Source organism: Homo sapiens, chromosome 20, assembly GCF_000001405.40.
Source record: "Homo sapiens chromosome 20, GRCh38.p14 Primary Assembly".
Taxonomy (NCBI): domain Eukaryota; kingdom Metazoa; phylum Chordata; class Mammalia; order Primates; family Hominidae; genus Homo; species Homo sapiens.
Genome location: NC_000020.11, coordinates 297093 through 313443, shown reverse-complemented (window position 1 = coordinate 313443; position 16351 = coordinate 297093). Strand labels below are relative to the sequence as shown.

Below are 16351 nucleotides of genomic sequence, written 5' to 3'. Positions count from 1 at the left end.
AAAAAATTAGATGGGTGTAGTGGCGCATGCCTGTAGTCCCAGCTACTTGGGAGGCTGAGGCAGGAGGATCACTTAAGACTGGGAAGTCAAGGCTGCTGTGAGCTGTGATGGCCCCGCTGCACTCCAGCACTCCAACCTGGGCAACAGAGTGAGGCTCTGTCTCAAAAAAAAAAAAAAAAGAAAAAGAAAAAAGAAACAAGTGGAGTCTGCTGGAACACTAAAGGCAAAAGAAAGTGTTCAGAAGAATGTACTCTACTTGATAAAGTTTCCCACAGGGGTATGGGTTAACAATTTTGATAATCCTACACATGTATACTGGACTTGAACAATTAAGTAAATGGATGGTGGATGTGGATGATGGGAACCAGGTTTCCCGTTATTGGAGTGGGAATTTAGAGATAAGCAAGCAGGAAGCAAGCCAAATGATCCCTGGATTCAAGTGGTAAATATAAACAGGAACTCATGTTTAGCTTAATATATATACAGATGGTTACAAATGGAAATATAGATATGTGTGTATATATATACACATTGGTATATACAGATATATTTCTTTGTTCTGTCAGTTGAGAAGGCTTAAAAGAAATGATACCCCAAGGCCAGGTGTGGTGGCTCACGCCTGTAATCCCAACACTTTGGGAGGCCAAGGCAGGAGGATGGCTTGAGGCCGGGAGTTGTATCAGTCTGGGCAACATGGCAAGACCTTATCTCTACAAAAAAAAAAATTGAAAATTAAAATTAGCTGAGTGTGGTGGCACACACCTGTGGTCCTAGCTACTCAGGAGGCTAAGGAGGGAGGATCACTTGAGCCCAGGAGGTCTAGGCTGCAGTTTTTATTGTCTTTAAATTCTCTTCAGATAATTTACCCCCGCATTGCCTACACAGCACACTGCAGAGTGCTGGGCAACTTGGTAATTAACCCTCTAATTGTGTAAACTGGAAGCTTCGTGAGGTTATGGCTTCATTACCATGGCTACGTGGCTGTAGCCATGAGTGTGCACTCCAGTGTGGGTGATGGAGTGAGACTCTGTCTCAAAAAGGAAGGGAGGGAGGGAGGGAGGGAGGAAGGAAATAAATGACACCCTAGTAGCAATGAGTGCACCTAGCGCCCAGTTCTTGGTTTCTAATAAATACCCTTCTCCGAAACAATCAAAGCTCTTGCGAAATGGCTGATTTGAGGACTGGGGCAGGAAATACGAAAGATGAGCCTGAGGCATCTTGTAGTGCCAGAAAGTAAGGAAGTGCTTGACGGCAACGAGAAAACCCCACAAAAATAGGGGTGTGTCAAAGGGAGACGGGAGCCAACCGAAAGAGCTCCCAAAAGCCAAAGCTGGAACAACTTGAGCAACAAAATCAAATAGTATTGGATTATAACCTAAAGTATTAAATAATTATCTGTGAATCCATACTGATATAAATAAATTACTGAATAAATGAGACAAATCTTCAGTGTAGAAAAATCCCAAATAATCTATGTAGCTATTCCAACCTTAAGGAGATAGAGCATAACTCCTCACTTAAGTGTGGCCCGAGCATAGTGACTTCCTTCCAAAGAGTACAGTATGAAAAGGGGCAAAAGAAGACTGACTTTCCAGTAGAGAAACCTGACGCAGCACCAACAGTGATGTCATGTTGCTATGTGAGAAACCGCCCCAGCCAAGAGGAGCCCAGAGAGACACGACAGCTAGTGCGATGAGGCATGCTGGATGGATCCTGGAGTAGAAAAAGATGGAGTAGAAAAAGAACGTTGGGTAAAAACGAAGGAAATCTGAATAAACTGTGAACTCTAATTAATAAATAATGTATCATTATTGGTTTATTAATTGGAACAAATATACCATGCGTCTGCAATACCATATGTGATGTTAATAGCAGAAACACCAGCCTGAGCAACATGGCGAGACTTCATCTCTATGAAAAATGCAAAAATCAGCTGGGCTTGGTGGCATGCCCCTGTAGTCTCTGCTACTTGGGAGGCTGAGGTGGGAGGATCGCCTGAGCCTGGGAGGCGGAGGTTGCAGTGAGCCGAGATCGCGCCACTGCACTCCAGCCTGGGTGAAAGAGCGGGACCCTGTCTCAATAATAATAATAATAATGAAAGAAACAGGGTGGGTGGCTGGGGTAGACGGGAACTTTATATTCACAATTTTTCTGTAAATCTAAAAGTGTTCTAAAAAATTGAAGTTTTTTTTTTGTAATGGCAAACGGGTTTTAAAAACACATTTGGTTTATTTAGACTCCAGAGTGTCAGAGCCATTTACGCAGCCCGCCTCAAAAACAGAATTTCTTCCATGGATTAAGAGAAATATTCATTTATCCTCCAGTTGTAATGTTCTGAACCAGGAATTAGATGGTTCAGTAAAAGTTGCCTACCAACTAATTAAGTCAATGTCTCATGAACTCTGCATCAAAAAACTCGGTATCTTTAATTTTGTATGCATTTGAAATACAAAGGAAAGATGACTAGTTCCTTGATCATTTTAAGTTAAATTAAAATACCTATAATGAAAGACATTCATATAGAGCAGACTATATCATCCCATTGCCTACATTTTCATTTCCTAAAATTGTTTTAGTAGAGAATGGTATATATTGTTGCGTAATTGAAACAGTTTTGCTCTCCTTAAATAAAATAGCAGCCAAAGATTATTCAGGGTGCAGCTGACAGAGGCCTTACTGCCAATTCCTTCTGATCTGGAGAATTCCTAAAAAAAAAAAAAAAAATATCGAGTCTTCTTGTTACACCGAAGAGAAGGAGGGCAGGGTCGAAGCGCATTGGTGGTGTCCCTGGGCCGAGGGCAGGGCTCTAAGTCACGGGACCTGCTGATTGGTGGACTCCCCAGAGCTGGGGGGCGGGGCCTCTGGCGATGGAGCTCGGAGTCCATTGGCTGCGAGGCTAGAGGATGGTGTAATGGACAGCATCGGCCTGTGCGGCCGGTTTCTATGGCAACGGAGGCTTGAAAGAGCCACTCAGATTTCGGCGCTCGCCCCCAACTCCCCTTTCCGGAGGGGGCAGGGCGGCCTGGATTTGGGGGCCGGCGGAGGAGGCGTGGGGGCTGGGAGTTAAGGAGACAGGGCTTTCCTTGGACCAAACCAACCCAGCAATGCCACATTGGAAGTGGGTTTGAGGAACCGGGCCTGCGTGCTCATTTGAAAAAAAATCAGCCAAACAGAAAGGTATGAAGAAGAAACACCTATAATTCCATCCTTCCCTGACTTCTCCACTCGTAACATTTTGAACAGCAAAGCTTGGCACAGAACTGGCACTCAATGGGAGGAAGAGAGGGAGGGAAGGAAGGAAGGGGAGAAGGGGAGGGAGGGTCGATGATGTGGACAACGTGGCGTGACACGAAGTGCCCGCCCCCTTGGGCTGAAAGTCACAGGCAGGCCCGCAGAGCTGACGGGATATAACAGACTTGGATTTGGGGGCTTGGAGGAGGAGGGGTGGGACAGCCAAAGGCTCCTTGATTCCATCCCGGGATTTGGGAGGCCTGACTGCAGAAAGACTCCTCTCCGGCTTCACACCCCGCCAGCCCTGCCACTTGCAGCCGCCAGTGCTTCCAGTCTCCAGATCCCTGTGTCTTTGTGTTTGGGGAATAATAAACAGTGCCTGCTTCATCGAGTTGGTGTCAGAACTGAGTTAATGCATGGAAAGTTCTTAATACAATGCCTGAAACGTAGTAAACGTGCAATCAACCAGCTATTATCACAATTGAAGACGGTGGGATTTGACTAGGTGGAGAGAATGGGGAGGTTATTGGCTGTGGGTAAGGAGGCAGGAGGGAGCAGCCGTGTTGAAACCCTGCAAAGAGAGCAGTTTGGAGATCATACAGGAAGTCATAGGAGACGACAGCCAGAGGGCATTCTTCTCAAGCCCTTGACATGGATTATTTTATTTCATTTTCTCACCAGCCCTGATAATGTAGTTATTACCATAGACCCATTTTCCTGCTCAGGAAACTGAAGTTCAGAGAGGTTATGTAGCTTGTCTATGCAAAGAAATGACAGAACCAAATGGGCATTTGTGGGGCTCAGAACAAGAGTAGAGTTGGAGGCCCATATACCATATGTCTCTATAGTTAGAAATTATACAACAGTCCAGCAAGTGTTAAATGAAATATGTTCTGTTTTCTTCCTTGATGGATATATCCTCTAACAACCTGGAAGGCCATGTTCAAATTAGAATTCTAAGACCCTTGGAGTTATGTGCCAGAATGTGTAGGCCCAAGGAGACCTGTCCCCTGGAACCTGTATCCATCCCTTATCCAGCTACCTCTCATCCCATCAGTGATGGAGCTAGCATGCATGGGTCAACACCTAGCTGTCACCTGCAAACAGCTATCTTGAGGCCCAAGGCTCAGGTCTATAAGATGTGCATCAGGCAGTATAGTTTGCCCTCAGGTGAGATGAAGCCAGGGATGAGGCCCACAAAGAGCCCTGTGAATTAACTTAGTGACATTTTGGAAGGGAATTATCGGGTATCAGAGCGTGTTCTAGAAGGCATAGGCACAGACTCTGGGTGGGCACTTCTCATGCCTGCAGAATCCTCGCCCCAAGGGGAGGGGTGGTGGGGGACTCAGGGAAGGGGCCACTCTTGCCAGGCTTCAAAGCCACGCATTCAGAATCCAGGAGCCTGGTGCTTCTCCCCTGTGCCTCACAGTGCCATGGGGCATGCTGGCTGACTTCCAGTGATTTTATGCTCTCAGAGAAATAGAGGAGGATGAGCTAGTAAACCGAGGGCCTGACCTCCCAGGTCCTATCCTCCCTTATCAAAGGTGGGAAAACTAAAAGAGTGAGTTAGCTTTTAAAAGATGAATGAATAAGCCCTTGTTCAGTATGTGTCAATGACAGAGTGCTAAGGTATGTTAAGTATATTAAAGAAGGACAAGTAGACACGTGTCTTAATCTGTAACCTCAGCCAAGTGATTCTAGATCATGCATGCAATAAATATTTATTAGGCTTTACTCTGTGCCAGGCATAGTGCTAATTGCTCAAGCTATAACCGTGAGCCAAAAGAGACTGGTTCCTGCCCTCAGGGAGCTCAAAGTGGAGAGGCAGAGGCAGATATCAATCAAACCATGGCACAAATAAGTATATCATTGCACCCGAGTAACTGCTGAAGGAGAGGCCAGGGAGGTAACGGACGGTGTAAGAGGGTCTGATACAGGATGTTAGGGTAGGCTCTAGTTAGGAAGCAGCATTAGAGCTGAGTGCCCCAGGCAGGTAAGGATTAACCATGGGTAGGGGAGGAAGAGATCTGCTTCCAGGAATGACCAGCTGGAGCAGAAGGGGAAGCCAAGCCAGGGTAAGAGGGGGAGGCCCGACAAGAGAGGAGGCCCAGAGGAGGCAGGGCTGGTCAGGCAGGCCCTGGTGAACACCAGGGAGGACGCAAAATCTTTGAAGTTCTTTAAGCGGGGGAGAAATGTGATCAAGTTTTGTTTTGGGGTGGATTCCATGGTTGGAAGGAGAGGGAGCCTGGAAGCAGGGAGACCAATGTGTTGTCTGCTATAGAATTTCTTAAACTCTTCCATCAAAGTTCTTATTTTTTATTTTTATTTTATTTTATTTTATTTTTAGAGACAGGGTCTCACTCTGCGGCCCAGGCTGGAGTGCAGTGGTGCCATCACGGCTCACTGCAGCCTCAACCTCAAGTGATCCTCCTGTTTCAGCCTCCCAAGTAGCTGGGACCACAGGCATGTACCACCACACCCAACGATTTGTTTTTTTTTTGTAGAGACAGGATATCCCTGTGTTGCCTCAGCTGGCCTCAAACTCCTGGGCTCAAGCAGTCCTCCTGCCTTGGCTTCCCAAAGTGTTGGAATTACAGGCATGAGCCACTAAGCCCGGCCTTTACTTTTAAAGATAGAGGAGATGGACTCCTGTCTCTCTAAAGTCTATAGGAATTTCGTTGAAGTCTTGTGTTTTGCATTTATTTTTGTTGTTAAAAGTTGTTTTTGTTGTTGTTAGAGATAATAGATGAAATATTTTTTTAAAAGCAGGGATACACAGTGGAAAATAAACTTTCCTTTTATCCCAAACCCCAAATATCCAGTTCTCCAAAGTTACAAATTACGAATTTCATTAATATCCTTCCAGTGTTACATATTTGTACAAAAATAAGCATATGTATATATATTTTTTCTTTTTTAAAATCTTTCCTATGGTGCTGAGGGTATGTATGTATTTATTCCAACATTAAAAAATGTAAACTGTAGGATACCATATCTTGCTTTTTTTCATTTAATAATGTGTCTTAGAGATTGTTCCATATTAATACATATAATTTGTTCCGTGCACACCTGGCTACTAGGGAGGCTGAGGCAGGAAGATTGCTATGTTGTCCAGGAGTTTGAGTCTAGCCTGGGCAACATAGCAAGACCCTGTCTGTATAAAAAAATAAAATAAAATCTTTCTTGGGCTGGGTGTGGTGGCTTACACCTGTAATCCTACCACTCTGAGAAGCCAAGGTGGAAGGATCACTTGAGGGCAGGAGTTCAAGACCAGCCTGGCCAACATATTGAGACCCTGAAGAAAGAAAAGAAAGAGAAAGAAAGAAGAAGGAAGGAAGGAAGGAAAGAAGGAAGGAGAGAGAGAAAGGGAAGGAAAGGAAGGAAAGGAGGAAGGAAGGAAGAAAGAAAAGAAAAGAAAAAGAAAAGAAAGAAAGAGAAGAAAGAGGAGAAAGAAAGAGAGAGGCTGGGAGTGGTGGCTCACGCCTGTAATCCCAGCACTTTGGGAGGCCGAGGCAGGCGGATCACGAGGTCAGGAGATTGAGACCATCCTGGCTAATGCGGTGAAACCCCATCTCTACTAAAAATACAAAAAATTAGCCGGGCGTGGTGGCGGGTGCCTGTAGTCCCAGCTACTTGGGAGGCTGCAGCTGTGCCAGGCACAGTGATGGATATATCCCGGGAGGGGATATATCCACAGTGAACCCGGGAGGCAGAGGTTGCAGTGAGCCGAGATTGTGCCACTGCACTCCAGCCTGGGCAACAGAGTGAGACTCCGTCTCAAAAAAAAAAAAAAAAAAAAAAAGAAAGAAAGAAAAAATTAGCTGGGTGTGGTGGTGTGTGCCTGTAGTCTCAGTTACACAGGAGGCTGGGGCAGAAGTATTGCTTGAGCCCAGGAGTTGTAGGCTGTAGCGAGCCACGCAGTGAGCCACTGCACTCCAGCCTGGTTAACAAAGTGAGACCCTGCCTCAAAAAAAAAAAAAGTCATATTTTATTTAAAACTCTGCAAAGTTTACATTCTTTTCCATAATATATCTGTGTTTATTTTCTTTTACTATGTCCTACCCCAAATCTTAGTCACATTGACAAGCCAGCAAATGGGGCTGTATGTATCAGTGCCTTTGTACACGTTTGGTGCACTCCTGTGGCGCCCCCACCCTCAACTCAGCATGATCTGACGTCTCCTCACCCTTAGCTTGGTCCTTTTATTTATTTATTTAGAGATGGAGTCTCGCTCTGTTGCCCAGGCTAGAGTGCAGTGTGGCACAATCTCGGCTCACTGCAACCTCTGCCTCCCACTGAAACGGGAAAAGTTCCCTTGTCCCCGTCCCAGGGCGTGTGACAAGGGGAGTGGCTCACTTCTTCAGTGTCCCGCTGCTCAAACCTCTAGGGGAGCATACAGATGGGCAGGTTGTGGGGCTCCGACCCCACGAGTGTCTAGTGGTGGATGTTTACAGCTCCTGAAGCCCCAATGGGCTTATGCTACCGTATGCTCTTAGTTTTGCCATCTATAGGTGGCTTGTGTTAACCAGCTCAATTAGACACTCTACCTTGTTGCAAGGACAGAGGGCTTTCTGTATCCTGGGTTCTTGCCTTGGTGTACCAGAAGAATTGGATCACACCTGGGCTTGAAGAATTAGTGCAAGGTTTTATTGAGTGGAGGTATCTCTCAGCAGATGGAGGAAGCCAGAAGGGGATGGAGTGAGAAGGTTTTCCCCTGGAGTTGGACTGTTCAGTGGCCCAGGCTCCCCTCCGACTGCCCCAGCCAAACTCTGCATAGTTCTGTTGGTCGATGGCCTGTGGTGTGCTGGTTTGTCAGTGCCTGTCGGTGCGTTCCTCTCGACGTCCAGCCGCTTGTGTGTTCCTCCACTGATGTGCTCCTCTAGCCGTCCAGTTACCTGTGTGTCTGCCTGCTAGGGTTTTTATAGGCACAGGATGGGGGCGTGGCCGGCCAGGGTGGTCTTGGGAAATGCAACATTTGGGCAGGAAAACAAAAATGCCTGTCCTCACCTAGGTCCATGGGCACAGGCTGGGGTGGAGCCCTAGCCAGGGACCACGCCCTTTCTCCCTTCCATGTCATTTAAAGGGACTGTGCCCTTCCCTTCCCAGCACTTCCCTTCCTGTATCACCAGGTTCAAGCAGTTCTCCTGCCTCAGCCTCCTGAGTAGCTGGGACTACAGGTGCATGCCACCATACATGGCTATTTTTTTTTGTATTTTTAGTAGAGACAGGATTTCACCATGTTGGCCAGGCTGGTCTCGAACTCCTGACCTCAAGCGATCCACTTGCCTAGGCCTCCCAAAGTGCTAGGATTACAGGCATGAACCATTGCACCTGGCCCCTTAGCTTGGTCTTGTACCACTCCATACTCCAAAATTCTTTCTGGTTGCTGTTTGTCAGCCGTAACTGGAGTTGACATAAAGGGATGTAATGGGCAATCTGGCTGAGAGTAAGGTTGGAAAGGAGTCCAGGAGCCTCTTGTGAAAGGGATCGGGTACCAGGCTGGGTTCCAAGTGCACAAGGGAGTCCCAGAGGACGTGACATGGGAATAAAATGGTCAGCGTGCCAGATTGACATCTTAGAAAGATCATTTGCTCCTTAATCTGCCCCCATCACTTTCCTCTAAAAGGCCCTTATTGATAACCTCCACACTACTCAATCCTAGGGCACTCTTCAGTTCTGATCTCAATTGACATTTTTTTTTTTTTTTTGACGGCGTCTCGCTCTGTCGCCCAGGCTGGAGTGCAGTGGCTCAATCTCAGCTCACTGCAAGCTCCGCCTCCTGGGTTCACGCCATTCTCCTGCCTCAGCCTCCCGAGTAGCTGGGATTACAGGCGCCCGCCACCACGCCCAACTAATTTTTTGTATTTTTAGTAGAGACGGGGTTTCACTGTGTTAGCCAGGATGGTCTCAATCTCCTGACCTCATGATCCGCCCGCCTCGGCCTCCCAAAGTGCTGGGATTTCAGGCATGAGCCACCGCGCCCGGCCTCAATTGACATTTCTTAGAGCTGATTTTACTTGATTTCTTGCAGCCCTTGACACAATTGTTAACCCCTACCACCTGAAATGTCCTCCCTTGGTTTATGTGTTTCTGCACGTTCTGGTTTTCCTTCTCCCTTTCTGGCTGTCCCTTATTAGTTTTTCACCATCTCCTTTTCCATCAGGGAAAACTGTGTCAAAGTTGCTTGAGGCACAATCTTAGTTGGTATAATCTTTCCTTCTGCTTTCTCTCTTGACCATTAGGAGAGTGTGAAATCAGTTTAACACGTCATATAAGCATTGACAAAAGGATGAAGCAATGGAATAGAAAGTGTCAAGGTGCATCATGCACAGGGCAAATATTGTTTGAGGAAGCTTATTTCAGATTTAGATATAAATACACACATGCATATGTATGATGGCTGCAATGTAAAATATATATCTTACTGTGGGATGTGGTAAAACAGTTTGAAAGCCACAGCTGTACAACTCCTGTGTTTATTTCTCAGGGCCAGAATTCTCCTAGGAATGTAAGATCTGTGTGTATCCAACCGCCTACTCCACATCTCCTCTTAGATATCCTCTACGGAGACCTTAAACTCAATATATCCAAAATCAAATTCAAGCCCTTCACCCTAAACTTGGATTTTCTCTTCTGTTTCGCATCTCAGGGAAAAGCCCCACCATCCATCCAACTGCAGAAGCTAGAAACCTGGGCAACATCCTTGGTACTTAACTTTCTCCCAGCCCATGTCAAATATAGCTCCAAATCTTGTTGACTTAAACTCTGAAAGATTTCTTTACTCGGCTGTTTCTCTCTGTACATCTCCGCCTTCCATGCCTAAGATGTCCTCATCTCTCGAGAGACCTGGGTGAACTATACTGTATTTCCCCTTGGGCTCTCCTCTGACCCAGTCTCCACCAACTATCCTGAATGATGCTTGTAAAACATAACCAATCTAATCATGTTACTCTCTTGCTTGCAAGTCCTTCAATGGCACATCGTTCTTAGACCCACATTCTTAACATGGCCTACCAGATGCTCCCACGAGCTCCTCTTCTCTGCACTGCAGTCACATTTTTTGTGCTGGATATTGTCTTTTGACAGACAGCACCCATCCCCATTCTATGTGCCTTCCTATGTTGCGGATGCTGGAAAGCTAAAACATCTCCCAACTCCCTTGCAGCTAGGGCTCTAGCACTTAGATGTATTTGCATAAAAGATGGAAGGGAGGCATAAGTAAGCCAGACAGTTTGGGCTGTTTTTACCTGTAAATGGTTGCGGAGACAGTAGTGCACAGTCCCTGGCTTTGTAGAGGCAGGGAAAGGACTTGGCATTTCACTGTCCTGCCAGTGGCATTGGCAGTGACTTTCTGATCCCAGGATCCTGTCTTTGGGTGGCAGCTTCACCATTGTGTCCTCATGCTCAGCCTTTCCAGTGGTGGCCTCCTGGCTTCTGTCTTTCTGACTGTGAGAGGTAGTAACTCCCCTGGCAGTTCTATGGTGTTCTAGGAGTCATTCCTAATACCCAGCCCAGGGACCAGCATTTTCTTCAACAGCAAGAGTGGTTTCTGTTTCTAAACTTAGACTGATTCATTTAGTCTCTAGAAGTGGTCATGCCTCCTCCCACTATAGGGTTGTTTTACTTGCTATCCCTCTTGCCTAGGTTAATACCCTTGCCATCCCTTAATCCCCAGCCCCATCTCTCGATTAACTCCTTTTATGTCTTTTCCATCTCAGTTCAAACATTTTCTCTGATCCTTAAGACTGGATCAGCTTTGCTTGTTAAACAGGGATCTCACCCTGTATGTTTCTTTTAGTGCATCATCGTCTGTAATTATGTACTTGTGTGACTCTAGAATCTGAGCTTCAGGGACTTGATTATCCTGCTCCATGCTGTGTTCCATCGCTTAGAAAAGGCCCCTATAGAGTTGGCGCTTAACAGGCATGTGTTGAAAGAATGAATGGAATGGAGGAGGCCTGATTGGAGGCTCTGAGGACAAAATCCACGTTTTTAAATATGGCTGGTAAGCCCTGTGACACCTCTTCTCGGCGTTTTCTCCCAGCCACATCTTCCCCTGACTCTTGGCCAGTCCGAACACGCTGTGTGCTCTCTGGCCTCCAGGCCTCTACATCTGCTATTTCTGCTGCTTGGCTGTCTCTTCACTCTTAGCCTGGTTCTTACTCATCTTGCAGGTTTCAGTCAGGACGTTTTCTCTTCTAGGGAAACCTTTACTTCAGACAATTCTATACAGGACAAATGTTGGCTGGGTGCGGTGTCTCACGCCTGTAATCCCAGCACTTTCAGAGGCTGAGGCAGGTGGATCACCTGAGGTCAGGAGTTCGAGACCAGCCTGGCCAACATGCTGAAACCCCATCTCCACTAAAAATACAAAAATTAGCCGGGCGTGGTGGCACGTGCCTGTAATCCCAGCTACTTGGAAGGCTCAGGCACATGAATCGCTTGAATCCGGGAGGTGGAGGTTGCAGTGAGCCAAGATCATGCCACTGCACTCCAGCCTGGGCAACAGAGTGAGACTCTGTCTCAAAAAAAAATTGTTAAATATATGATTGTAAACATTGCCTACTGTTACTTATCTGTACCTTCCATTGCAAGTGCACTGTCTTGTTCAAGGCAGCCTATGCAGAGGGCCTTGCATGGGGCCCAGCTCTAATGCCCTCCGTATTTGTTGAAGTGGAATGAATCAATGTCCCCTAGTCAACCAGCCTCAGTCCGGGCATCTCTGCACACTTTCCAGGAGCCCAAAAACAGTGAAGAATTGTAATTTGAGGGCTGCTTGATCAGGAAAGGAAGCTGGGGGAGGTTTGTTCAGCTCCAGCCCCTGGCTGTCCCTGGGCCACCAGGCAGGAGGCCTTGAAGCAGATCCTGTGGGGGATGGGCAGGGAAACAGTTTCTTCCTCTCCTCCCTCCTGGAGAGTGGGGGGATGGGGCCAGGAGAGGGAAGGTTCCTTCAAGGAGGCTCCCTGGCACAGTGCCTGCTTTGAGGAACGGAGTGGAGAGTATGGTGAATGCAGGCTTTCTCCTGGCCCCTGGCCTCCAGCTCTGTGAGAGGGAGGGAAACCGCTGGCAAAGACGGGAAAGAGGGATGGGAGGGAGGGGAGAGTCTGCTTGCTTTGGGAGACAAGGAGAGGGGTTGAACTGGCTCTGAAAGACAGGATTCCCAAGAGCCTACCAGGTCCCAACTCCAGATCAGCTCTGGAAATATCCTCAAATCACTGAGTCAGAGTCAATATACTGGGAACGTTTAACTCTCAGGATCAGATCATCCTAGCATCACCAGCTGGAAAATCCTTCAGAGAGTTGTATCTGGGGTCTGCAGGGTATTGGACCTGAAGTCCAGGGACCTTGACCCTATTCTGCCTGCAGGCCCAGTCTCCAGTGGGGGCTAACTTGGAGAAGTCAGCTCCCTGGATCCCGCTTTTTCAACAGCTGGAAGAAATGGCATTTTCCCAGAACCCAAGAATATTTTGCATCCCATCCACAGCGCGCGCTTACAGTAACAGAAAGACGAGGAAGCTGGCAAACCACCTCTCTTTCCCACAGGTCTGTAATCTCCCTGAGGGCAGGGTTCAGCTCACACATCTTATACTCTGGTCTCAAACCTGGCTGCCCATCAGAATTGCTTGAGGATGATTAACTAAAATGTTTCACTTCCTCTAACAGTGATTCTGATTTATTGGAACTGTGTTAGGACTTAAAACCCGTTTTAACAGTGTGCTGATTGTGATGCAAAGGGACCGGCACAACGTAGTAGGTGCTAAGTGTTGCCTGCAGGGGTGGGAAATGTATTTAGCAAGGTAAACAAATGGAGTGTAGGGGAAGTGGGATTGAAATACGGTCTGGAGCTGGGTAACTGTGCATCTAACACTTTGAAAGGAAATAGTGCACCAGTTTTAGCAATACAAAAGATAAATATTTATTCAGAACAAAACTTTTAACAATCAATTTTACATTCTAAGCCACAAGGAAATAGCAAAACATATAGCAAAGGAAAAGCAAACACTAAAAGAAAAGCAGTGTACTGTCTTTTCTACTGGATAACACTTAGTTGGCCCATGACCTCTCGCTTGGCCTATCTCCCAAGTACATTTTAGAGTTAACAGCTCACTCATAATTTTGGGTTAAAATCCATCTTTCTCCTGAGAATCAGGAGTTGCACATGAGCTCCAGCTAGCTGCTTCTCTAGGGTTCGTAGCTATTGAGGCTAAGGTGCAAATGTAAACCTTTGGTAGGTTTCTTTACACAGGGGCACCCCCATTTCTCACTGGTGGCAATGAATGGGGAAGGGGTAGGGCCTCCAAAGGACCTGGCACACTGTAATCCAGAAGTGGTGCCCCAGGGAGCAACGAATGCACCCTGGAGTGTGGTCCTTGGTCCGTTCCGTATCTCCCAAGTATTCAGAAGCCCCTCCTTAAAAACCTTCTCTTTCTGCTCCCTCCTCCAGGTGATTTCTCAGCATTCCTCTGGGCTGATCATTCTGGAGAGATCAGACTTTCTGGGCCCTCAAGTGTTGAGGAAATTGTTGTGAAGTGTGAGAGGTAGTGGAATGAGCACCGGGCTTGGGGTCAGGGGACTCTACTATAGGCTGGCTCTGGCACCAGACAGCTATGTGATTTTCACCCAGTCATTTAACCTCTTTGGGCCTGTTTCATCTGCTGGAAAACCAGGGAATTGGTCCAAACCAACTCTCAGGTTCTTTCCAGCAGGAATATTCTAGATTCCATGATTCTATAAAAAATGGCTTCTGAGCCACCAAAAGAGCTGTCATGAAGTCCATGCATCTTTGTGCCATAAGAGAGGCCCTTGGCCACCATTCAGAGCTTATTGATTCAGATTATATACACTTCTAACAACACTGGTTTCACAAATTCTCAGACCACGTAGATTAAAAGCAGCAAATTAAATGAGGGAGGGGAAGAGCTGCAAAAGGTAGACACTCTGATAGAAGCCACAGTCAACAATGTTTTCAATTCAGCAAACACTGATGGAGTGCCTACCACGTGTTGGGCCCCGTACCTAGTGCTGGGGCATAAAGATGAGCAAGGCAGCCCAAAGGGTGAAAATCCAGGGGAAGAAAAGGTATGGGGCGGGGAGGGCGGGAGGGGGGCAAGGAGAGAGAGAAAAAGTACAAGAAACAAAACAAATACCCAATAGAAAAACGAAAATAAAATTTTAAAAGGGAGGGGCAACACATCTGCACGCTACAGTTCTCCGCAGTCGTTATTGGTGACAGAGTCACCAATTCAGAACAGGCTGAAATGGAGTAAACTCGGTTTAAGAAGGCATAGAGAGATGTCTCTTGTAGGTTTTAAAAAGATCTCCTTCAAAAACGATAAAAAATGGTTTAAAAAAAAGTTTTGGCACTTAAGAGGGATAAGCTGGCTGTGTGTTCACCCTGGCAGGCAGGCGGGTGTTTAGTGCCCGGCCACGCCGGTTAGCTGAGCTGCCACGGAATTGTGCACTGCTTTGGGACACTGGGCAAAGGCGTGTCCTCGCTTGCCACAGAGGTTGCACACGATGCCCTTCCGGCAGTAAGGGCTCAGGTGCCCCTCCTCCCCGCACCTGAAGCACCTGTCCTGCGTGCAGCTGCCGCTCATGTGGGTCCGGGAACCACATTTAAAGCATGTCTTGGGCTGCCCCTTGTACCAGCTGTAGCCCCTCTCGGCCCCCAGGAAGAAGGCCCCTGGCAAGTGCCTGACCCCGCCCTCCCCCTGGCGCAGCTCGATCTCGCATTTGTACTCCCCGGTCCAGATCCCAAACCTGTCGGTCACTTTCACCGGCACGGCCAGCACGTCGCAGTGGCGCTTGAGCCAAGTCACAATGTCCTCCACGTCCACCGTCTCGTTCCGGAAGAGGATGAAGAGCGTCTTCAAGCTGGACTTGCTCCGCCCCAGCACCACAAAGTTCTCCCAGCAGTCCTCCTGCTCCCGCTTCTCCTCGTAGACGCGTAGGAACAGGGCCAGCTTCTCCGCTGAGCGGAAGCTCACGTCGAATTCGCGGCTGCCCGGGATCTGGATGACCGCGTAGATGTCGCTCGGGTCCATGCCGATGGAGCGCAGGATAAGCGCTCCTACCACGAAGTCCCGGGTCGGGCAGGCGCCCTCGTCTCCCTGGAAACAGATGCGGACGAGGAAGCGACCCTTGCCCGGGCCTGCCGCCGCCGCCGGCTCATCCTGGAGGGGCCGCTCGGCCGCGTCCTCGGCCTCGCCGGGCCTGGCCGGGGTCGCCATGGCGGCCGCCGCCGCCTCGGCCTTCTTCCTCCTGCCCGCCTCCGCAGCGCCCTTCTTTTTGCGGGGGTCCACCGCCTCGCCGGCCGGATCTCTCCGACGGCCCTTCGGATCCCCGCGGCCAGCCGGTGGGAAGTCGCCGAGGTCCGGCGCCGCCAGGCCCGCGGGGCCGCCGAGCCCGGCGCTCCCTCCACCGCCGCCGCTTTCCTCCTCCCGCCGCGGCGGCCGCGGCTCGCGGAATTCGCCCTTCTTCTCGGCTAGATTCTTCACCACCTGGGCCCAGCCCATCTTCTCGCGGCCGCCGTCGGCCTCCTCGCCCCGGGCCGCGGGCCGCGCGGGGGGCAGAAGCTGCGGCCGCCCCCGTTTCCTCTCTTCCTCCGCGCCGCCGCCGGTGGCCATTTTACCTCCTTCCCAGCATCCTCCACTCGCTCCCGCAGCCAAAGGGCGCCCATCGCGCGCGCCCGCCCGCCGGGGCTGTGTGGGTTTGGTTTTTTTTTTTTTTTGAAATTTGACGCTACCCTCCCCCGCCGCGCCCTCAAAGGTATCACATGCGGCGCATATTGGCCAGCGCCGGCTCTGCGCCCCCTGCGCTGAGCCTCTCTTCCGCCAGCGCTCGCTCCAACCTCACCTCCGTCCGCAGCGGGATGGGGCGCCCGGAGGCGGCCCTTTCCCCAGCGCGGGTTTGGCAGCCTCCGGCCTCGCTCTCGAGGATTTGGCGTTTCGCAAGCGGTGCTCGACGATTTCATGCTAGCAGCTTTGCTAACGGCCCACAGCCCACAGGCGGGACGGAGTTCGGCAACATCTCTCCCATTTTTTCTTTTTTGTACCTTTTCTGTTAAAAAAGCAAAAGCAATAGCAAAATTAAAACTTAGCTTTCCGTTTCCCCAGAACTG

The 16351-nt window shown here is 48.8% G+C and overlaps 1 protein-coding gene across 1 annotated transcript, besides 5 other annotated features; it reads right to left on the bottom strand.

Moving 5' to 3' along the window:
- Positions 2876-2955: an enhancer, noted in NCBI's record as "active region_17435". NCBI's record gives its function as "activates an Ori minimal core promoter by ATAC-STARR-seq in GM12878 lymphoblastoid cells {active_cell/tissue: GM12878}" and the evidence as "EXISTENCE:reporter gene assay evidence [ECO:0000049][PMID:35858748]".
- Positions 3705-3764: an enhancer, noted in NCBI's record as "active region_17434". NCBI's record gives its function as "activates an Ori minimal core promoter by ATAC-STARR-seq in GM12878 lymphoblastoid cells {active_cell/tissue: GM12878}" and the evidence as "EXISTENCE:reporter gene assay evidence [ECO:0000049][PMID:35858748]".
- Positions 11945-12239: a silencer, noted in NCBI's record as "tiled region #12860; HepG2 Repressive non-DNase unmatched - State 14:Gen5'". NCBI's record gives its function as "represses a minimal TATA promoter and a strong SV40 promoter by Sharpr-MPRA in HepG2 cells {active_cell/tissue: HepG2}" and the evidence as "EXISTENCE:reporter gene assay evidence [ECO:0000049][PMID:27701403]".
- ZCCHC3 (zinc finger CCHC-type containing 3) lies at positions 13123-15874 on the bottom strand. Its single transcript, NM_033089.7, has one exon. It carries the CDS (start codon positions 15855-15857, stop codon positions 14646-14648), a length of 1212 nt encoding a protein of 403 aa, NP_149080.2. The 5' UTR covers positions 15858-15874; the 3' UTR covers positions 13123-14645.
- Positions 15431-15500: a silencer, noted in NCBI's record as "silent region_12561". NCBI's record gives its function as "represses an Ori minimal core promoter by ATAC-STARR-seq in GM12878 lymphoblastoid cells {active_cell/tissue: GM12878}" and the evidence as "EXISTENCE:reporter gene assay evidence [ECO:0000049][PMID:35858748]".
- Positions 15681-15770: a silencer, noted in NCBI's record as "silent region_12560". NCBI's record gives its function as "represses an Ori minimal core promoter by ATAC-STARR-seq in GM12878 lymphoblastoid cells {active_cell/tissue: GM12878}" and the evidence as "EXISTENCE:reporter gene assay evidence [ECO:0000049][PMID:35858748]".
- Positions 15875-16351: the final 477 nt, after the last annotated feature.